This window comes from Homo sapiens, chromosome 1 (genome assembly GCF_000001405.40).
Source record: "Homo sapiens chromosome 1, GRCh38.p14 Primary Assembly".
Taxonomy (NCBI): domain Eukaryota; kingdom Metazoa; phylum Chordata; class Mammalia; order Primates; family Hominidae; genus Homo; species Homo sapiens.
In genome coordinates this window covers 202,087,293-202,109,358 of record NC_000001.11, presented here as the reverse complement: position 1 = coordinate 202,109,358, position 22,066 = coordinate 202,087,293, and the positions used below count along the sequence as shown (strand labels likewise).

At 49.5% G+C, this 22,066-nt stretch overlaps 1 long non-coding RNA gene and 1 pseudogene across 1 annotated transcript, besides 3 other annotated features; one reads left to right on the top strand and one right to left on the bottom strand.

The window, feature by feature from the left end:
• Positions 1-188: 188 nt before the first annotated feature.
• Positions 189-21,632, top strand: LOC105371684 (uncharacterized). The gene is made up of 2 exons (XR_001738375.2): positions 189-389; positions 21,468-21,632. It is a non-coding gene; the product is annotated as an uncharacterized LOC105371684 (long non-coding RNA).
• Positions 472-1,445: an enhancer, noted in NCBI's record as "H3K27ac-H3K4me1 hESC enhancer chr1:202077042-202078015 (GRCh37/hg19 assembly coordinates)". NCBI's record gives its function as "activates a minimal SCP1, AML or CMV promoter by ChIP-STARR-seq in naive H9 embryonic stem cells {active_cell/tissue: H9 hESC(naive)}" and the evidence as "EXISTENCE:reporter gene assay evidence [ECO:0000049][PMID:30033119]".
• Positions 4,372-5,346: an enhancer, noted in NCBI's record as "H3K27ac-H3K4me1 hESC enhancer chr1:202073141-202074115 (GRCh37/hg19 assembly coordinates)". NCBI's record gives its function as "activates a minimal SCP1, AML or CMV promoter by ChIP-STARR-seq in primed H9 embryonic stem cells {active_cell/tissue: H9 hESC(primed)}" and the evidence as "EXISTENCE:reporter gene assay evidence [ECO:0000049][PMID:30033119]".
• Positions 5,347-6,321: an enhancer, noted in NCBI's record as "H3K27ac hESC enhancer chr1:202072166-202073140 (GRCh37/hg19 assembly coordinates)". NCBI's record gives its function as "activates a minimal SCP1, AML or CMV promoter by ChIP-STARR-seq in primed H9 embryonic stem cells {active_cell/tissue: H9 hESC(primed)}" and the evidence as "EXISTENCE:reporter gene assay evidence [ECO:0000049][PMID:30033119]".
• On the bottom strand, positions 12,381-12,600 carry CRIP1P3 (cysteine rich protein 1 pseudogene 3; annotated as a pseudogene).

The window sequence follows — 22,066 nt, the reverse complement described above, 5'->3', positions numbered from 1 at the left end:
CCCAGGTCTCCCTCTGGACATGCCTGATCCACTGTGGCCAGCTGGGGGGCACCCCCCTACAGGAAATCCTCCAGGGTGGGACCATGGGGCCAATATCTGACCTGGATCCTGGAACTTTGGCAAGATGCCCTTGCCAACAATCACGAGCACTGAGCCCTCCTCTGGAAGGAGAAACCCTCCCTCTGGGCCTAGCCCTCATCCGTAAAATGGGGCTTTGCTAGGGGTACTCTCAGTCCCCTCCAAGCACTAGTATTCCCAGGTAAACCTACGAATGATGCCCAGTCAATGTTTTTGTTTGGTTTTGTTGTTTTTTGCAGAGGATGAGGGAAAATGTCTGGACCACTGTTGGCCTAACAGTTCACAGAAAGCTGCCACTGTGCACTGGAAAGGTATATTTAGGTCTCTTGCAATGTCCTTTTCTCTTTTGCCAATTTCTGACCCAGGAGGGTGGAGGAGAATAGAGATGGTGGTGACCTTGGTGGAGGCAGGAAGGAGCAGGGCTGATAGCTAGATTTTCATCTGTGCAGGTGCATGTTTATGCATTTGTGTCTGTCTCTGAGCTCAATATAGATCAGCGTGTATCTCCCTCCATATTAGAGTTACAGAGCTCTCCATTTACAGCTGTAAAAGAGATTTATATTTCTTTCTAGAATGGTTGGGGCAGGGGTGTGGTTCAACAGATGGCTAGCAGGTTACAGGTGTGTCTAGCTGAAAAAAGTATCTGGCCCTGGGCCTCCTGATTGGCTGTCAGTGAGTCACAGCGGTTGGGTTCTTGGAGTGGAGCTAATTGGCTGTCATGGAGTTGGGTTCATGCCCTGCCTTATCTTTAGGGCCTTCTTCTGCCAGCCTAGACGGACAATGTTCCCTGTAGAGGCAATGACGCTTGCAGGCTGCTGACTGCGGGTCAGTGGGACGTGCCCTTTGGGTAGTTTTCCCAGCAGCATGTGGTTCACCTTGACCTGGCCACACCCTGACTCCTCAGCTCTCCAGAGCCCGAAGGATGGCACCCTACTGGGGAGTGATTCCAGGGGCCAGCTGGCTGTGACCTGGCGAAGTCACAAAGGTATTTCCTCAGTTCTGGAAGTGCCATCCGAACTGACTGGCAACAAGAAAGTGTTTGTGGGTAAACATTGTAGAAACCAACTCTGGATTCTGTGAAAGGCCTCTGGAGAGATAGGCAGGGAACTGTTGCCATGGTAACCAGCTCAGGGGGTCGGAGCAGAAAGCAGAAGAGAGGCAGGCAGGAGGGGTCCCTGTCTTGGCTTTCCAGATGCAAGGAATCCTTGAACATGCAGGCTCTGGGAGTGGTCTGCCTCCCGGCCTCAAGTCACATGTACACACAGGGCTTTTCACTTCTCCTAGGCCTTACATGGGTGTGGCTTCATGCCCTTCCAGGGAGCAGGACCCAGACAGTTATTCCAGGGTGAGAGATGGGCAAAGCAAGCCCTCCAGGAGCATACACACTGCCCAAGGTCACAGGGCAGAGACCAGCAGCCAGCAGGAGCCCAGCAGGCACAGGAACACTTGACGAAATCCGTTTTCTGTCTGTCCGCCAAACTAGCTGCAGCCCCCGGTCCTCCATTAAGAGTCCCAGGGACCACTCAGCTCAGGGTAGTGGGAGGAGTTGGCATAATCTTCTTGGCTCAGGGCTACAACTTCTGAGAAGTTCAAACAACCACATATTTCCCCATCCTCCTCCTCCCACCTGTTTGTCCACCTGAGTAGAATACAATTTCTGTGTCTGAGCAGTGGGGGGCAATTGAACTGGGGAGACCTTGACAGGCCCCTTATCAGCTCCCTGGGGCTGCCAGGCTGCCTGTTGGTATCCTGGACTCCCGGCTCTTGCCCGCCCAGGCTGGCACAGTTGCCATCCAGGGTGCCTGGGCGGAGAGCCAGAGGGAATTTTCCACCTGCCTGCCTTTGTTGTCTGCTCTGTGGTCTGGAGCCTGGGCCAGGGGCGGGGCAGGCCCCCTGGGTATCTGCAGGAGGGCTCCGAGGTTGCCTTGGGCTGCCTCACACAGGAATTGCCAACCCTTCCCATGTTCCATGACCCAGCGAGGTTTCTTTTTCTCCATGGGGGAGATGCGGGAGCTAGTGGGGATAGGGGAAGGTTGGGCACTGGGGTGGGGATGCCCACCTGGGTAACCACAGAGTGCCAGGGTTAGAAGGAGCCTAGGCTTATCCAGCTGAGCCCCTACCTTGTACAGATGGGAACACTGAGGCGCCTGCCTTGTACAGATGGGGATAAGAGGGCAATGGACATGGCCAAGGTCACAAAGGGAGGGTAGATGCCAAGCCATGACTCAAAGCCGCTTTCCAGACTCACATCCCAGTATCTGTCACCAAACCTTTCAGTCCCCCCATAACTTCACTTTTCCATTCGGGGCTGAATCAGGCTATGGGTCTCCCACTCCAACCCCTCCTTCCACACCCTGTCCTCTCTTCTTAGCACAGGATGTGTGGGCCTAGGCCTGCCTTCCACAGCTCCTCAATGTGAGCACCAGCTCCCCTGGCCCCCGACTGCCTTCAAGAGGCCCTCCCCTCCTGGAACTGGCTGAGCTCTGCACAGGGTCCTCAGGCTGAGGGCGGGGCCTGGGCTGCTCTAGGGGCAGTGGGTGAATGAAGACAAACCCATGGGAAGAGATGAGAGGCAGCGGGCTGAGCTCAGCAGCTGGACAGGGTGGTGGGCCCACTTGGAGCTGTTTTATGCTCCCCAAGTGCCTCACCTTTCTAGAGAGCTCCAACCCCTGTGCTGGCCTTGGGCAATCTGTGGGTGTGGAGTCAGGCTGTGCCCTAGAGCCTTATATCTCTCCTTCCTGCGGTGAGGTGACCCAGGTGCACCTGCTCCTGGGGGGTAAACAGCAAATGAGAGGCCCGGGGCAGGGGTGGGGCAAGGCTGAAACTGGGTGCCTGGAGCTGGATGAGTCACGTTCTCACTCCGGGGCCACCAGGGATAAGAGGGGGAGTGAAGGATGGGGGAAGGACAGATTAGGGCCATGACAGGGCCAACTCAGAACACCCCCCCACCCCCCGATCCTCCTGCTCTCCTATCTGGGCCTCTTGAAAGAGTCCTTGGCAATCTCTCCTCCAGCCTCTTCATTTTATTGAATTAGGAGGCTGTGCTCTAGAGATGGCCCAGAGAGGACAAGTGACTTGTTGGGGACACAAAGCACGTTGGTAATCTCAAGTCTCCTGAGCCAGTCATGGGTTCAAATCCCAGAGCCAAAAGCAGAACACCAGCAAGCTTTTCCTGCCCAGTGTTTCGGAGAGCAATCTGTAACTACAATCATCGCTAAAATGCAGTCAAGCCCCTGAACTGCCCTGGGGATAAGAGGGACCTGCGGCTTCTCCACCTCCCTGACGTCAGCTGGGTGTCACCAATCCCCAGAAGCCCTGCCCAGTGGTGTGACATCACAGGGCTGGGCCAGCTTTGCTGGAAGGGGCTCCACCCTAGAGAGGAGGGTGAAGGGATTCTGGTCTGGGTCTGTCGCTATCATACAATGCAGCCTGTAGCCTAAGTGCAGGGGGGTTATCGAAACTCGAGGGCCCCTCTGCTGCCCACCTCCCACTCCCTCTGAAACCCAGGACTCCTGGGGCTGCCACAGGAGTCTGAGTCAGCTCTCGGGGCCAATGAATAATATAAAGTCAGGCCTTCCCTGACTACATGTATTGTGTTAAGGAGGTGGAATTTAGAGAATTCAGAGTGTCAGGTCATCCTAGCAAATCTCAGCTCCTCACTAGTCAGCTGTGAGACCTGGGCCAGTTTCTGACCTCACAGAGCCTCTTCTGTAATTTGGGCATGAGGTTACCTATCTCACAGGATTGTTGTGAAGATTAAATGAAGTGACCTGTGCATCACTCGGGCACACAATGCTTGGCATGCAGCAATATGGGCTCAATTTTTGAAAGATGAAGTATAAATATTATAGAAGAGAACTCCACCGGGTGTGGTTGCTCACACCCATAATCCCAGCACTTTGGGAGGCCGAGGCGGGCAGATCACTTGAAGTCAGGAGTCTGAGACCAGCCTGGCCAACATGGTGACACCCTGACTCTATAAAAATACAAAAATTAGCTGGGCATGGTGGCGTGCAGCTGTAATTCCAGCTACTCAGGAGGCTGAGGCATGAGACTCACTTGAACCCAGAAGGCAGAGGTTGCAGTGAGCTGAGATCACACCACTGCACTCCAGCCTGGGCGACAGACCTAGACTCTATCTCAAAAAAAAAAAAAAAAGACTGCGTGCGGTGGCTCACGCTTGTAATCCCAGCACTTTGGGAGGCCAAGGTGCATGCATCACTTTAGGTTGGGAGTTTAAGACCAGCCTGACCAACATGGAGAAACCCCATCTCTACTAAAAATACTAAATTAGCCGGGCGTGGTTGCACATGCCTGTAATCCCAGCTACTCGGGAGGCTGAGGCAGGAGAATTGCTTGAACCCAGGAGGCAGAGGCTGCAGTGAGCCAAGATCATGCCATTGCACTCTAGCCTAGGCAACAAGAGTGAAACTCCGTCTCAAAAGAAAGAAAGAAAGAAAGAAAATAACTCTTAATGATAAACCAAGGTTCGAAACTTTGCACTTACATCACAGAAGAAGAGTGTAGGGCACTTCTTGGCTTTATCTATCTATTCAACAAACTTTTCTGAAGACCGGTGAGGAAGCACCCCTCTGACCAAAGTGACAAACGGAAGTGATGGGCTCCTCTTCCAGAAGTAGAGGGCTCAGGACGGGATTAAGAGGAAGGACAGAAAGAGACAGGAGCTTTCCAGTTACTCCAAAAACAAATGCACCTCCTTCTGTCTGTGCCTCTACACAGGCAGGTTTTTTCGGACCAGAACTTTTTGCTATTCACCCAAACCTCTTCTTCTTCTTTTTTTTTTTTTTTTGAGACGGAGTTTTGCTCTTGTCGCCCAGGCTGGAGTGCTGTGGCGTGATCTTGACTCACTGCAACCCCGCCTCCCGGGTTCAAGCAATTCTCCTGCCCCAGCCTCCCAAGTAACTGGGATTACAAGCGTGCGACACCACACCCGGCCACGAAATCTCTTCTTTACCAGCAGATATCTACTCCTCCTTCAGAGCCCAACTCAGGCTTCACCTCCCATGAGCAACAAGTCAGGGCCAACACCCTACTCGGGGCAGGGTGAGGTGCCCCTCCTATACACTCCCATAGGACTCTGCTTCCTTTCCTGCTGTTTATCTTAGCATTTTGCACACTTTTTGTGATGAATTGTCTCTTCCATTAGACTGTAAGCTTCCCTAGGCCAAGGACCTCTTGTTATCTGGAATTCCCAAGAGAGGTAAGAGTAAGCGTTTGTGGAATGAATACATGAAAGAAACGGACTGTTCCTCTGACAGATGTTTCCCTGGGGTTCTGTGCCCATGAAAGGGGCCTGACTGACCATACATCCTAAAGTGCCCAGGACAACCACGGCTTATGCTGTTGTCCTGTCACGATTATTGATAGCACCCCCTTTTACCTGCCAGATGTCCAGGTTGAAGGACAAATTTTATAGTCACCCTTCTGTCAGAGAAACCTGGAGGAAACCCAGTTTCACCAACCAAAGGTTTCTTGTTACTTTTTTTTTTTTAAGACAGGGTCTCAGGCCAGGCATGGTGGCTCATGCCTGTAATCCCAGCACATTGGGAGGCTAAGGCGGGTGGATCATGAGGTCAGGAGTTCGAGCCCAGCCTGGCCAATACAGTGAAATCCCGCCTCTACTAAAAATACAAAAATTAGCTGGGTGTGGTGGCGGACACCTATAATCCCAGCTACACCGGAGGCTGAGGCAGGGAACTGCTTGAACCCAGGAGGTGGAGGTTGCAGTGAGCTGAGATCACGCCACTGCACTCCAGCCTGGGTGACAGGGCGAGACTCCGTCTCAAAAAAAAAAAAAAAAGAGGCAGGGTCTCACTCTGTCGCCCAGGCTGGAGTCTAGTGGTGTGATCTTGGTTCACTGCAACCTCTGCCTCCTGGGCTCAGGTGATCCTCCCAACCCAGCCTCCCAAGTAGCTGGGATCACAGGTGCACGCCACCACACCTGGCTAATTTTTTTTTTTTTTTGAGACAGAGTTGCGCTCTGTCACCCAGGATGGAGTGCAGTGGCGCAATCTCAGCTCACTGCAAGATCTGCCTCCCGGGTTCACACCATTCTCCTGCCTCAGCCTCCTGAGTAGCTGGGACTATAGGCGCTCGCCACCATGCCTGGCTAATTTTTTGTATTTTTAGTAGAGACGGGATTTCACCGTGTTAGCCAGGATGGTCTCGATCTCCTGACCTCGTGATCCACCCACCTCGGCCTCCCAAAGTGCTGGGATTACAGGCTTGAGCCACCGCACCCAGCCATCTGGCTAATTTTTTTAAGTTTTTGTAGAGACGGGGTTTCGCCATGTTGCTCAGATTGGTCTCAAACTACTGGGCTCAAGAGATCCTCCCGCCTTGGCCTCCCAAAGTGCTGGGATTACTGGTGCGAGCCACTGCACCTGGCCTTCTTTTTACTTCTTTGTTTGTTTGTTTTGAGACAGAGTTTTGCTCTGTCACCCAGGCTGGAGTGCACTGGCATGATCTTGGCTCACTGCAACCTCCGCCTCCTGGGTTCAAGCTGTTCTCTGCCTCAGCCTCCCGAGTAGCTGGGATTACAGGTGCCCGCCATCACACCCAGCTAATTTTTTTGTATTTTTAGTAGAGATGGTGTTTCACCATCTTGGTCAGCCTGGTCTTAACTCAAGACCTCGTGATCCGCCCGCCTTGGCCTCCCAAAGTGCTGGGATTACAGGCATGAGCCACCACGCCCAGCCCTTTTTACTTCTTAATTATTTCCTTTTGTCATCCCTTTGTTCATTTTCCCAGCTGTGTTAAGAGATATGGGTGGAATACCCTGGCTCACCCTGGCCTGGGTTAGGGGGGAATGTGCAACAATAAAAAGACCTGTGGCTGGGTGCAGTGGCTCACACCTGTAATCCCAGCCCTTTGGGAGGCTAAGGTGGGCAGATCACTTGAGGTCAGGAGTTCGAGCCCAGCCTGGCCAACATGTCGAAACCCCGTCTCTACTAAAAATACAAAAATTAGCTGGGCATGGTGGCGGGCGCTTGCAATCCCAGCTACTTGGGAGGGTGAGGCAGGAGAATCGTTTGAACCTGGGAGATGGAGGTTGCAGTGAGCCGAGATCACACCACTGCACTCCAGCCTGGGCAACTGAGAGATTCCATTTCATAAATAAATAAATAAATAAATAAATAAATAAATAAATAAGAAACCTGTGGGGAGAAGGACCAAAGGAATGGTGCAAGCTGCGGCAGTACCTCCCAAGAAGAAGAGGTCCCCTGCTAGGAAATCTGGGGGTGGCCCATTTAAGTAAGCCCAAAAGAAAAGGCACTGCAGGTACAAAGAAGAATTCAATAGGCCCAGCTAGTAGGTGAGGAGGAAATTACCATACAATCAGGCTCTTTGTGTCTAAATCCTCCTGAGGCCTCAGCAGGGCCAGCCCACCTCTAACCTGTGAGACTGCCAAGCCCCAAAGCACCCACGGTAAAGCTGTGGAGACCTAAGAATCCTCCTCCCAGATGCAGGCAACCTGATCCCTGGGCCCGCCAGGCCCCAAGGACAGTGCAGGCTCACCCTCACCCCTGGCACCCTCTAAGGGAGGGGGTTGCCTCTGTTTCTCTACGGCCCCCAGCTGGGATTTCAATGCAGTGTGTGGGGAGGTGGGAGGAGGTCTGAAAGAGACAGAAGAGAGAGAGAGAAGAGAGAGACAGAAGAAAGAGAGAGAGAGAAAAAAAACCATGGCAACCAGTCCATAAATGAAGACTCATCAAGAAGTCTGGAAGAGACCTCGAGGAGGCGCCTAGCCAGCACCTCATTCAATTTATTCAGCAAACATTTATTAAGCCTCACAGGGTGCCAGGCACTGGGCTAGGCCCTGGGGATACAGAAATGGAAAAACAGCCCCACCCTGTGGAAGCCCACAGGCTTCCGGAGGAGGCCAATGAGCAAACAGATGCTGTTAAGGACTGGCAGGGATGCTGGGCTGGAAGAAGGCCAGGAGTGTTGCTGGGGCCAAGGAAGTGCCTGAATCCAGAGGAGGCCTGGTACCCAGATGAGGCTGGGGGTGGTCAGATACACGACCCCTGACCTCAGGCCTGAAGACTTGTAGAACCAGCCAGGCCAAAGCAGGAAATAGACAGGTTTAAGGAGGGGAGAAGCACCTCAGGCCCAGTGAGAAAGAAGCTCTATGTTGAGGGAGACAGAGGAGCATGGAATTCGCTGAACCTTGAGTATTTTAGTGTGCCTTCTTAAGAAAAATTATCCAGAATTCAGAAATTAGACCAAAAAATGTCAGCATGTCTTTCAAAATTATTCAAAAATTAGCTGATGTGCTGTCAGCTGGGAAAGACAGGAGGCAGGAAGACTGCTTGAGGTGGGGAGGTGGAGGCTGCAGTGAGCTGAGATCCCACCACTGCACTCCAGCCTGGGTGACAGGTTATGTCTGCAATCCCAGCACTTTGGGAGGCCAACCAGCCTGGGCAACACAGTAAAACCTTGTCTTTACTAAAAATAAAAAATTAGCTGGGTGTGGTTGTGTGCACCTGTGGTCCCAGCTACTTGGGAGGCTGAGGCAGGAGGATCGCTTGAGTCCAGGAGATCAAGGCTGCAGTAAGCCAGGATCATGCCACTGTATTCCAGCCGGGTGACAGAGCGAGACTGTCTCAAAACAAAACAAAAACAGCTCTGTGTGTTTAATTACGGAGTAGAGCCCTACAGACCTTTGCAAATTTGATGTTAACTTGTAGGAAATTGATAGGTTGCAAATTTTTGTTTTAAATGACAGGGTCTCTGTTGCTCAGGCTGCTGGAGTACAGTGGCACAATCATGGCTCACTGCAGCCTTGACATCCTGGGTTCAAGCAAACCTCCTACCTCAGCCTCTGGAGTAGCTAGGACCACAGGTGTAAGCCACTATACCCAGCTAATTTTTAAAAATTTTTTTTGTAGAGTTGGGGTCTCATTATGTTGCCCAGGCTGGTCTTGAACTCCTGAACTCAAGTGAACCTCCTGTCTCGGCCTCCTAAAGTGCTGGGATTATAGGTGTGAGCCATCATGCCAGGATACATTAAATAAATCTTTGATGTGGCCCACTATTTATGTAGGAGACATGCTTTTAACTTTTTGAAATTATAGGCTGGGCACAATGGCTCACACCTGTAATCCCAGCACTTTCGGAGGCTGAGGTGGGCAGACTGTTTGAGTCCAGGAGTTTCAGACCAGCCTGGGCAACATGGTGAAACCCAATCTCTATTATTTAAAAATAAACAAATAAAATAAAATAAATTCCACAGTCAGCTCTCTGTATCCATGGGTTCTGCATCCATGGATTCAACCAATTTTGGATTGAAAATACTGGGGGAGGCCACGCTCAGTGGCTCATGCCTGTAGGCAGCACTTTGGGAGGCCGAGGCAGGTGGATCACCTTGAGGTCAGGAGTTCGAGACCAGCCTGGCGAACATGGTGAAACCCTGTCTCTACTAAAAATATACAAATTACCTGAGTGTGGTGGCAGGCGCCTGTAATTTCAGCTACTTGAGAGGCTGAGGCAGGAAAATCGCTTGTACCTGGGAGGTGGAGGTTGCAGTGAGCTGAGATTGCACCACTGAACTCCAGCCTGGATGACAAGAGTGAAAATCTGTGTCAAAAAAAAAAAAAATTAGCTGGGCATGGTGGCACACTACTTGGGAGGGTGAGGCACGATTATTGCTTGAACCTGGGAAGCAGAGGTTGCAGGGAGCTGAGATCACGCCACTGCACTCCAGCCTGAGTGACAGAGCAAGACTCTGTCGCAAAAAAAAAACTATATATATATATATGGGGATAAATGGATAGCTGCATCTGTACTGAACATGCAGGCTATTTTTCTTGTCATTATTTCCTAAACTATACAGTATAACACCTATTTACATAGCATTTACATTATATTAGGTATTATAAGTAATCTAGAGATTATTTAAAATATACAGGAGCTCTACAGAAAATAAAAAAATTGGAGCACAGCTGTAGTCCCAGTTTCTTGGGATATTAGGGTGGGAGGATCACTTGAGCCCAGGAGGTCAAGGCTGCAGTGAGCTGGAATCACATCACTCTAGCCTGGGCAAAAGAGACCTTGTTTGAAAAAAACAAAAACAAAAACAAACAAAAAAAAGTATATGAGGCAGGGTGTAGTGGCTTATGCCTGTAATCCCAGCACTTTGGGAGACCGACGCAGGCAGATCACCTGAGGTCAGGAGTTTGAGATCAGCTTGGCCAACATGGCAAAACCCCATCTCTATTAAAACACAAAAATTAGCCAGGCATGGCGGCAGGTGCCTGTAAGATTTTCACTCTTGTCACCCAGCTACTAGGGAGGCTGAGGCAGGAGAATCGCTTGAACCCAGGAGGTGGAGGTTGCAGTGAGCCCAGATCACGCCATTGCACTCCAGCCTGGGCAACAGAGCAAGACTGTCTCAAAAAAAAAAAAAAAAGTATGTGAGAGGATATGTGTGTGTCCCATTCATGCAAATACTACACTACTTTATATGAGAGACTAGAGCATCTGCAGATTTGGCTATCCTGGGCGGTGGGGTTGGGGGGTTCCCGGAACTAGGCCCCCACAGATACTAAAAGACAACTGTTCTTTGATGGAGTGCTTATGAAGTCATGATGGGAAAGGAGGGCTTTGTACGTCACATTAAAATAGGCTGGGCACAGTGGGTCACGCCTGTAATCTCAGCACTTTGGGAGGCTGAGGCAGGTGGATCACCTGAGGTCAGGAGTTTGAGACCAGCCTGGCCAACATGATGAAACCCTGTCTCTATTAAAAATACAAAAAATTAGCTGGGCATGGTGGCAGGTGCCTGTAATCCCAGCTACTCGAAGGAGGAGAATCGCTTGAACCCAGGAGGTGGAGGTTGCAGTGATCCAAAATCGTGCCATTGCACTCCAGCCTGGGCAACAAGAGAGAAACTGTCTCAAAAAATAAATAAAAATAAAGGGAAGAGGGTGCAGTGTTGTGCACCTATAGTCCCAGCTACTCAGGACACTGAGGCAGGAGGATCACTTGAGTCCAGGAGCTGGCGTCCAGCCTAGGCAACATATAGTGAAACCCTGTCTCAAAAACAAAAAAACAAAAATAGAGGAAGAATGTATGTTTAACTTTATAGGAAATTAATAAACTGTTTTGTAGGTTTTTTGTTTGTTTGAGACAGGGTCCTGCTCTGTCACCCAGACTGGACTGCAGTGATGTGATCACGGCTCACTGCAGCCTCAACCTCCTAGGCTTAGGCAATCCTCCTGCCTCAGCCTCCTGCGTAGCTGGGACCAAAGGCATGTGCCACCACACCTGGCTAATTTTTTTTTTTTTTTTTTTTTGTAGAGGCAGGTTCTCACTGTGTTGCTCAGGCTAATCTTGAACTACTGGGCTCAAGTCATCCTCCTGCCTTGGCCTATAAGAACAGAAACCTACATATACTTCTATGTTCTACTTAGTAACTGGGGCAGTTCTCAACCCATAGAAGGCAGGATAACCTGGATGGGTGCCGTGGCTTATGCCTGTAATCCCAGCACTTTGGGATGCCAAGGCGGGCGGATTACCTGAGGTCGGGACCAGCCCGACCAACATGGAGAAACCCTGTCTCTATTAAAAATACAAAATTAGCCGGGCTTGGTGGCACATGCCTGTAATCCCAGCTACCCGGGAGGCCGAGGCAGGAGAATCGCTTGAACCCAGGAGGCGGAGGTTGCGGTGAGCTGAGATCGTGCCATTGCATTCCAGCCTGGGCAACAAGAGCAAAACTCCACCTCAGAAAAAAAAAAAAAAAAAAAAAAGGAGGCAGGATAACCCTTACTGACACTTGGGTTGTTCCCCATCCGCCGCCACCGCCGCCACCCCCACCACCGCCGCCATGCACTCTTCAGGTTTATTGAGGGCATGAGGGGCTAAAAGGGAGCCCTGGATGTCTGAGTGTAAGGCCTGGCATCTGCCTAAACAGTGGTTCAGTGGGTGGCCAATGAGGATGGAGTTTCCACCACCTGGGTTTGCTTGAAAATGTGACTCTCTGGCTGGGCGAGGTGGCTCACACCTGTAATCCCAGCACTTTAAGAGGACCAGGTGGGCAAATCACCTGAAGTCAGGAATTCCATACCAGCCTGGCCAACATGGTGAAACCCTGTCTCTACTGAAAACACAAAAATTAGCCAGGAGTGGTGGCGGATGCCTGTAATCCCAGCCACTCAGGAGGCTGAGACACAGAATCGCTTGAACCCGGGAGGCGGAGGTTGCAGTGAGCTGAGATGGCGCCACTGCACTCCAGCCTGGGCAATAAAGTGAGACTCTGTCTCAAAAAAAAAAGGAAGAAAGTGTGACTCTCAGCTCTACCTTGCCCAAAGCCTTTGGGCCCAAACATGGCATAGTAGCAGGGGTGGTTTCAGCAGGGCTTGCCTTCGTACTTAGCATGCCCCAGCTTGGCCTCCAGCATCTATATACATTTCTCATACTTCAGGAAGGGCTGCTGTTGCTGCTGCTGCTGCTGCTGATGACGATGACGATGGTGACAATAACATTTATTGGGCACTTACTATATACCAGCACTCTTCCCAAATGTTTCCATGTGTTAACTCACTTAATCTTCAACAGCCTTTCATAGTAAGTACCATTACAATCATTCCCATTTTACAGATGAGATAACTAGGGATCAGAGAGACTACAAACTTGCCCAAAGTTCTCTTACAAACTAGCAAGGAGCAAAGCCCAAGTTCAAACACAGGCCATCCATCCTAAGGGCCTTCTCTCAACCTGTGGTCTGTATATCAGTGGTTCTCAAACTTTTTAGTTTCAGGGCCCCTTTAAATCTTAAAAACTATTGAAGACTCCAAAAATCCCCAGTTTATGTGGGTTATATCTATTGCTATTTATCAAATTAGAAATTAAAACTGGCCAGGAGTGGTGGTTTATCCCTGTAATCCCAACACTTTAGGAGGCCTAGGCAGGAGGATCACTTAAGTCCAGGAGTTTGAGGCTAGCCTGGACAACATAGGGAGACCCTCATCTCTACAAAAAATTTAAAAATTAGCTGGATGTGATGGACCACACTTGTGGTCCCAGCTACTCGGGAGGCTGAGGTTAGGTTGGAGGATCACCTGAGCCCAGGAGTTTGAGGCTGCAGTGAGCTATGATGGCACCATTGCAGTCCAGCCTGGGCAACCATCGAGAACCCTTATCAAAAAACAGAAAGGTAAGGCCGGGTGCGGTGGCTCACGCCTGTAATCCCAGCACTTTGGGAGGCCGAGGCGGGCAGATCACGAGATCAGGAGATCGAGACCATCCTGGCTAACACGGTGAAACCCCGTCTCTACTAAAAATACAAAAAATTAGCCGGGCATGGTGGCAGGCGCCTGTAGTCCCAGCTACTCCGGAGGCTGAGGCAGGAGAATGGCGTGAACCTGGGAGGTGGAGCTTGCAGTGAGCCGAGATCGTGGTACTGCACTCCAGCCTGGGCCACAGAGCGAGACTCCATCTCAAAAAAAAAAAAAAAAAAAAAGGTTAGGGGCGATGACAAGACACATGGGATAGAATGAGGGAGTATGGGGTGTTTTTTTGTTTGTTTTTTGAGACAGAGTCTCACTCTGTCACCCAGGCTGGAGTGCAGTGGCACGATCTTGGCTCACTGCAACCTCTGTGAGAAAGTATGAAATAGACAAGAGCTGGGTTTGGGATCATCTCTCACCTTAACCATTTATGGCCCCGGTAGTAAAGTGCTTTCCTATGCATAGGGAAGGGATTCACAGTAAGAAACCCATTATACATTAACATAAATAACTTTTTTAAATTAAAAAACTACATTTTCCAAAAGCAGAAAAACTTAGTGAGAAAAATGACATTGTTTTACTTTTTTCCAAATCTCTTTAATATCTGGCTTAATAGAAGACAGCTGGATTCTTGTACCTTCTTCAGCATTCAATCCTTTGTGAATGTTGTTTTGGTTGATGTACATGAATAAAATCCAGCTTCACACAGATTTGCAGTTTAAAGAGTGAGGAGTATTTTAATAGCATTTTTTTTTTTTTTTTTGAGACAGGGTCACCCTCTGTCACCCAGGGTGAGGTGTGGTGGCACAATCTCAACCCACTGCAACTTCTGCTTCCCTGGGTCAAGCGATCCTCCCACCTTAGCCCCTCCAGTAGCTGGGACCACAGGCATGCTCAACATGCCTGGCTAATTTTTGTATTTTTTGTAGAGATGGGGTCTCACCATGTTGCCTAGTCTGGTCTTGAACTCCTGGTCTTAAGCAATCTTCCCACCTCAGCCTGGGATTACAGGCAAGAGCTGCCACGTCCAGCAGAAACAGAAATCTTAGAGGTTAGTTGCAATGTAGACTCTGAAACCCTATCAATGAACTTTTTGTCCTCTGTAACATTAAAATCCATTGTTCCTTCATTTTCTAGGAAACTTTTAGGGGGTGATAGACATGTTCACTGTTTTTATTGTGGTGTTAGTTTCATGGGTGTATACATATGTCAAAACTTATCAAAGTGTACACTCTAAATACATACAGTTTATTGTATATCATTATTACTCAATAACAATTTTTTTTTGAGATGGAGTCTTGCTTTGTTGCCCAGGCTGGGGGTACAGTGGTACGATCTTAGTTCACCGCAACCTCCATCTCCTGGGTTCAAGCAATTCTCCTACCTCAGCCTCTGATTAGCTGGGTTCAAGCAATTCTCCTACCTCAGCCTCTGATTAGCTGGGATTACAGGCGCCCACCACCACACCCAGCTAATTTTTTAGTAGAGACAGGATTTCATCATGTTGGCCAGGCTGGTTTTGAACTCCTGACCTCAGGTGATCCGCCTGCCTCGGCCTCCCAAAGAGCTGGGATTACAGGCATGAGCCACTGTGCCTGGCAGGATGTTTTTAAAAAATAATCCTAAGAACTAGATTGTCCTGACCTATTCAGAGAAGCAGCATGGCACGAAGGAAAATATGTGAGTTTTGGAAAACAACTTAGCTGGATTTGCCTAGCACTTCTTAGCTATGTAAGCTTGGGCAACATTCATTAATTCACTCATTTCACATGTATCAAACCCCATGAGACTCTATGAGGTGGGCCTAAAGCAGTGAACGAGCCACGATCCTCACAGTTGAGGAGCTTATGGTCTGACTGGGGAGAGAGGCAATGGCAAGACAGAGTGGCAGAGAGCTCTGTGGAAATAGCTGGCAGGGGCAACCAATCAGAGGGTTGTGATCAGGGAATGCTTCCTGGAAGAGGTGCCATCCCAGCAAAAACTTCTCTAGGCAAAGGGTAGGAATTCATCAGGCAAAGACAGGGAAAATGAGCTTTCCCAGCAGAAGGAATGTGATGGCAAAGGCCCAGAGACACAGAGTGGTCCAGCAAGGCCACAATAGAGTGGAGATGGCAGGTGGGGTTGCGGGGGGACGATGCCGAGAGACCTGCAGTCAGACCGTGAAGGGCTCTGTCTAGGCCTATCCCGAGGACAACAGAGAGGCACTGAAGGGTTTTAAGTAGGAGTGATGAGATCAGAGGTATGCTTCAGAAAGATGACTCTGCTGCAGTGTGGAGAATAAATTAGAGGGGCTACAGGGATGGGAAAACCAGTTAGCAGGTTACTACAGTACGCTGGGCAAGAAGTGTCAGTGGTCTGAATGAAAGTAGTAGTACTGGGCCGGACGCAGTGGCTCATGCCTGTAATCTCAGCACTTTAAGAGGCCAAGGCAGGGGGATCATTTGAGGTCAGGAGTTCGAGACCAGCCTGGACAACACAGTGAAACCCTGTCTCTACTAAAAATACACATATTAGGGGTTCCCTCTTTCGGCTTGGAGCCTCCCTCCCTCTGTCTCTGTACGGGGGGAACCTCTTCCTTCTTTCTTGCCTATTAAATTCTCCACTACTTGGCCGGGCGTGGTGGCTCACGCCTGTAATCCCAGCACTTTGGGAGGCCAAGGCGGGCGGATCACGTGGTCAGGAGATCAAGACCACGGTGAAACTCCGTCTCTACTAAAAATACAAAAAATTAGCCAGGCACGGTGGCTCATGCCGGTAATCCCAGCACTTTGGGAGGCCGAGGCGGGCAGATCACGAGGTCAGGAGGTCGAGACCACGGTGAAACCCCGTCTCTACTAAAAATACAAAAAATTAGCCAGGCGTGGTGCCGGGCGCCTGTAGTCCCAGCTACTCGGGAGGCTGAGGCAGGAGAATGGCGTGAACCCGGGAGGCGGAGCTTGCAGTGAGCCGAGATCGCGCCACTGCACTCCAGCCTGGGCAACAGCGAGACTCCGTCTCAAAAATAATAATAATAATAATTCTCCACTCCTTAAAACCAAAACAAAAACAAAAACAAAAACAAAAACAAAAAACCACCAACCAACAAACAAAAAACATGTATTAGCTGTGTGTGGTTGTGTGTGCCTGTAATCCCAGCTATTTAGAAGGCTGAGGCAGGAGAATCACTTGAACCCGTGAGGCGGAGGTTGCAGTGAGCCGAGATTGTGCCACTGCACTCCAGCCTGGGCGACAGAGCAAGACTCCGTCTCAAACAAACAAAGAAAGTAGCAGCGCTGGTAGCAATGGATGGAGAAAGAGGTAGACAATGGGTGAAGATGCTTAAAATTAGTTTTAATTATAAAAATAATGCTTGTTCTTAAAAGTAGAGCAATACTGAAGTATTAAGTAAGAGTAAAAGCCATTTCCATTCCCAATGTGGCAGGAAAAGCTCCTAACAGACCCATATTGGCCAGCATGGGTTATGGCAGAGGGTACACGTGGTCCTGGGACAGAGGCAGCCTAATTCTGCGATGTGCTTTGGGGCTTTTTTTCCTGAAAGCTCAGCCTAGATTCTGTGAGTTGGACCTTCCCAACAATTCTGGGAGCTATCTTTATCCCTTAAAAAAAATCCCCCTTTTGCTTAAAATAGAATGGATTCTATGGTTTGCAATTAAGAACATTAACCTAAGCAAAGAGATGAGGGGCAAAGGGGCTGGAAAGGGGTTGAAATGACAGTCTAAGTTGGATTAGGAGGGAACCAAGGCAGGAAGTGCCTGATAGATGGGGACAAAACAGAAGCATTGTGGGACTGGAGGTCTCAAACTTATGCTTTAGAAATAAAGGACACACACCGGGCATGGTGGCTCATGCCTGTAATCTCAGCACTTTGGGAGGCTGAGGCAGGTGGATCACCTGAGGTCGGGAGCTCGAGACCAGCCTGACCAACATGGAAAAACCCCATCTCTACTAAAAATACAAAATTAGCCGGGCGTGATGGTGCATGCCTGTAATCCCAGCTACTCAGGAGGCTGAGGCAGGAGAATCGCTTGAACCCGGGAGGTGGAGATTGCAGTAAGCAGGGATTGCGCCACTACATTCCAATCTGGGGGACAAAGCGAGACTACGTGAAAAAAGAAAGAAAGAAAGAGAGAGAGAGAGAAAGGAAGGAAGGAAGGAAGGAGAAAGAAAGAAAGGAAGGAAGGAGAAAGAAAGAAAGAAAAGAAAGAAAAAGAGGAAGAAGGAAGGAAGGAAAGAAAGAGAAAGAAAGGAAGGAAGGAGAGAGAGAAAGACAGAAAGAAAGAAAGAAAGAGAAAGAAAGAAAGAAAGAAAGAGAGAGGACACAGCCTGGGCAACATGGTAAGACCCCATCTCTAAAAACAAAAAATACAAAAATTAGCTGACATAATGGTGCACATCTGTGGTCCCAGCTACTCAGGAGGCTGAGGCAGGAGGATTGCCTGAGCCCAGGAGGTCGAGTCTGTAGTAAGCAGAGATGGCACTACTGCACCTCAGCCTGGGTGACAGAGCAAGACCCTGTCTCAAAAAAGAAAGAAAGGAAGAAAGAGAAAGAAAGGTAGCTGTGGTGAGTGGAGAGGTCATGGAATATCTCAATTTAAGATTTAAGTGGTAGGTAAGTTCCTAGTGATGACAACATAGAGGATGTGATTATGGAAAAGTGACTAAGGTAGAGTGGAGGTCAAGGAACAAGGAGGTTAAGGTGTTGGATGGTTATCTTCATGGACAATGAAGTCCCTCAGAATAATGGCAGGAAGAGAAAAGAGACTCCTTTCAGGTCCCCAAATCCAGAAGGAATAATGGTGAGTCACCAGCAGGTGGTAGAGAAGAGTGACAAAGAGATGGTCAAGATAGACAAAGGGGAGGGAAGGTGCCCTACAGGACCCTCTGGAAGTGATGCTAATAGCAGGGGCCAAGATGCCTGGAGTATGAGGAGAGTCAGCCTCCCTCCAGAGATGCTGCTGGGAAGAGAAGTGAGTGTCTCATGTGACTAGCGACTATTTGAGGCCAGTATCGCGCAGGTGGTAAGGAGAATTTACTAAGACAGTTGTAGGTAAAGAAAGACAGATTTGGCTGGGTGCAGTGGCTCATGCCTGTAATCCCAGCACTTTGGGAGCCTGAGGCGGGCAGATCACTTGAGGCCAGGAGTTCGAGACCAGCCTGGCCAACATGGCAAAACCCTGTCTCTACTAAAGATACAAAAAGCTGGCCAGGTGCAGTGGCTCATGCCTATAATTCCAGCTCTTTGGGAGGCCGAGGTGGGTGGATCACTTGAGGTCAGGAGTTCGAAACCAGCCTGGCTAACATGGTGAAACCCCATCTCTACCAAAAATATAAAAAATTAGCCAGGTGTAGTGGTGCACGCCTGTAATCCCAGCTACTTGGGAGGCTGAGGCAGGAGAATCGCTTGAACCTGGGACGTGAAGGTTGCAGTGAGCCGATATCTTGCCACTGTACGCCAGCCTGGGCGACAGAGCGAGACTCCAACTCAAAAAAAAAAAAAAAATTAGCCTGGTATGGTGGCACACGCCTGTAATCCCAGCTACTCGGGAGGCTGAGGCAGGAGAATCACTTGAACCAGGAAGGCAGAGATTGCAGTGAGCCAAGATCGTGCCACTGCACTCCAGTCTGAGTGACTGGAGCGAGACTCCATCTCAAAAAAAAAAAAAGGCAGATTTATTGCAGGAGGGCTATGTGTCCTAGCCATGAAGAAAGGCAGACTTACAGCTTATCTGCTGTCTCTTTCTGCTTTCCCTTGGTCCCACCAGCCCAACTCCTTTTCCCTAATTAGGACTGCACAGTGAGGACTTCAGGGGAGCCAGGTTCCCTGCTCAGGGCAGAGGTGCTGGGAATAGTCTCTGAAGGGATGAGTTGAACATATAAGGAGTTTTCATGGATCACAAATTTTATTATTATTATTTTTGTTGTTTTGTTTTTTTTTTTTTTTGAGACAGAGTCTCGCTCTATCACCCAGGCTGGAGTGCAGTGGCACGATCTTGGCTCACTGCAATCTCCACCTCCCGGGTTCAAGCAATTCTCCTGCCTCAGCCCCCTGAGTAGCTGGGATTACAGGTGCGCGCCACCACGCCCGGCTAATTTTTGTATTTTTAGTAGAGACAGAGTTTCACCATGTTGGCCAGGCTGGTCTTGAACTTTTGACCTCAGGTGATCCACCCGTCTGGGCCTCCCAAAGTGCTGGGATTACAGGTGTAAGCCACCATGCCTGGTACTGCAGCTAATTTTTAAACTTTTTTTTTTTAAGAGACAGAGTCTCACTATGTTGTCTAGGCTAGTCTTGAATTCCTGGGCTCAAGTCATCATTCCACCTTCACCTCCCAAAGTGCTGGGATTATAGGTGTGAGCCACCTTGCCCAGCCAGGACTGATAGTCTTTAAAGGAATCCTAGACCATGTGAGAAAGTTACTTGACCTCGGCCGGGTGCGGTGGCTCATGCCTGTAATCCCAGCACTTTGGGAGGCCAAGGCGGGCAGATCACCTGAGGTCGGGAGTTCGAGACCAGCCTGACCAACATGGAGAAACCCCATCTCTACTAAAAAATACAAAATTAGCTGGGTGTGGTGGCACGTGCCTATAATCCCAGCTACTAGGGAGGCTGAGGCAGGAGAATCGCTTGAACCCGGGAGGTGGAGGTTGCAGTGAGCCGAGATCGTGCCATTGCACTCCAGCCTGGGCAACAAGAGTGAACTCCGTCTCAAAAAAAAAAAAAAAAAAAAAAAAGAAAGACAGTTACTCGACCTTGACCTCGACTTCTCTGGGACTCAGTTTTCTTATTTGTAAGATGGGCATCATAATACCTAGCTTGTTAGGGTGTTACAAATTTTATAAATGAAATTAAGGCCAAGGCAGGAGGATGGCTTGAGCCCAGGAGTTTGAGACCAGCCTGGGCAACATAGGGAGATCCCATCTCTACAAAAAACAAAACAAAATGAAACAACTAGCTAGGCATCATGGTGCATGCCTATGGTTCCAGCTCCTTGGGAGGCCAAGGTAGGAAGATAATTTGAGCCCAGGAGTTCCAGCCTGCAATGAATTATGATTCATGAGACCACTGCGGTCCATCCTGGGCAACAAAGTGAGACCCTATCTCAAAAAACTAACTAAATAAATAAAACTAAAAATAAATAAAGATAGAAATAAAGTTAAAATAAGGCACTTAACTGAGTAGCCCAAAGTGTGTTTTCAGTACAATGGCTGCTATGTTTTGCTGTGGTTATAATTTAGTCCCTTTGGGGAGGCCGAGGCATAGATGAGAGATGACATGAAGGTCAGGATCTGGTGCTTGAGACACCTCAGGGTCCAGCCCAGGTCTCACTCTCCTCCCCTCCCTTCCCTTCCCCACAATTGGCCTTCTCAAGGAATGTGGCTCTTACCTTCTCATAGGGTCCAGGCATTCTATTTCTCTCCATTTAGGGAAAATAGAAAGTCCCCTGTCACCAGACAGAAAGTACTCTGCTGAGGAGAGCATCCCTCGAATCCGATTGCTCAGAGCCCAGGGCACCCATATGGCCCTGTCCCACTGATTCCTCCCTCAGTATCTCTGACCCATTAAACTCCCTGCTTACCTCTGCCCTCATCTCTCAGCCTGCAGCAAAGCAAAATCCTGGCCAGATAACTTCCCATGGGCAGCAGAAGCTGGACAAAGTCCTTGGGCAGCCATCACCATGGTGACGAGCTGGAGAGAGCTGGCCCAGAGGAGAAGGCAGATGTCTCAGTCTATCTCCCCCACCCCTTCTACCCCTCTGTCCTGTCTTCCTAGCTGCCTCTTTCCCTCTGCTGTGCTCTCCCTGTGTCCCTAACTAGCCCTCTTAGGTCCCCTTTCACTTGTTCCCATCTTTTTCTGAAAAGGGGCAATAGAAATGAACATGACTTATCAAATTTGGAAAGCTGGTAATAGTTTTATACACACATGCACACACACACACACACACACATATTCTTCATCTCCTCTCATCTTTTCCTCCCTGTCTCTGTCCCTGCCTATTTCTCTGGACTGACTGCCCTCCCTCTTCTTCATTTCTCACGCTCTTCATTCTCTTTCCTCTTCCCAGATCTGTTTCAGGCTATCGCCTCCTCCCTTTGACAAGACAGGAGTGATCTGAGCTCCCCTCTTGCCATCTGCAGGAATGAGATGCCTGAGTAGCCCAGGAGGATGCTGCCAAGGGGCACAGCAGAGTTCGCCTTGAAGCCACAGACTGGACCTTGAATTCCAACCCATCTGCCTGATCAGTCATCGATGCTCCCCATGCCTCAGTTTATCAATAAAATGATGTGTTGTGATGACTAGTACATATGTAGATTTCAGCTCATATGAAATCATAGGGACCAGCCTGGCCAATATGGTGAAACCCCGTCTCTACTAAAAAATACAAAAATTCGCTGGGCATGGTGACGTGTGCTTGTGGTCCCAACTACTCGGGAGGCTGAGGCAGGAGAATCGCTTGAACCTAGGAGGCGGAGGTTGCAGTGAGCTGAGATCACACCACTGCACTCCAGCCTGGGTAACAGTACAAGGCTCTGTCTCACAAAAAAAGAAAAAAAAAAAGAAATCATAGTTACACCATAAAGAGAACAGCTGATGTCCCCCAAACTCATCTGTTCTCACCTACTGCCTAGTCTGTCTGGGTCCTCAGTCTGAGATCAAGAGGCCACTCATATATTCCTGATGGCCCCCAGCCCTGGACTCCACCAGTTGCCTCCCAGGGGAACATCCCTCCCTCCCT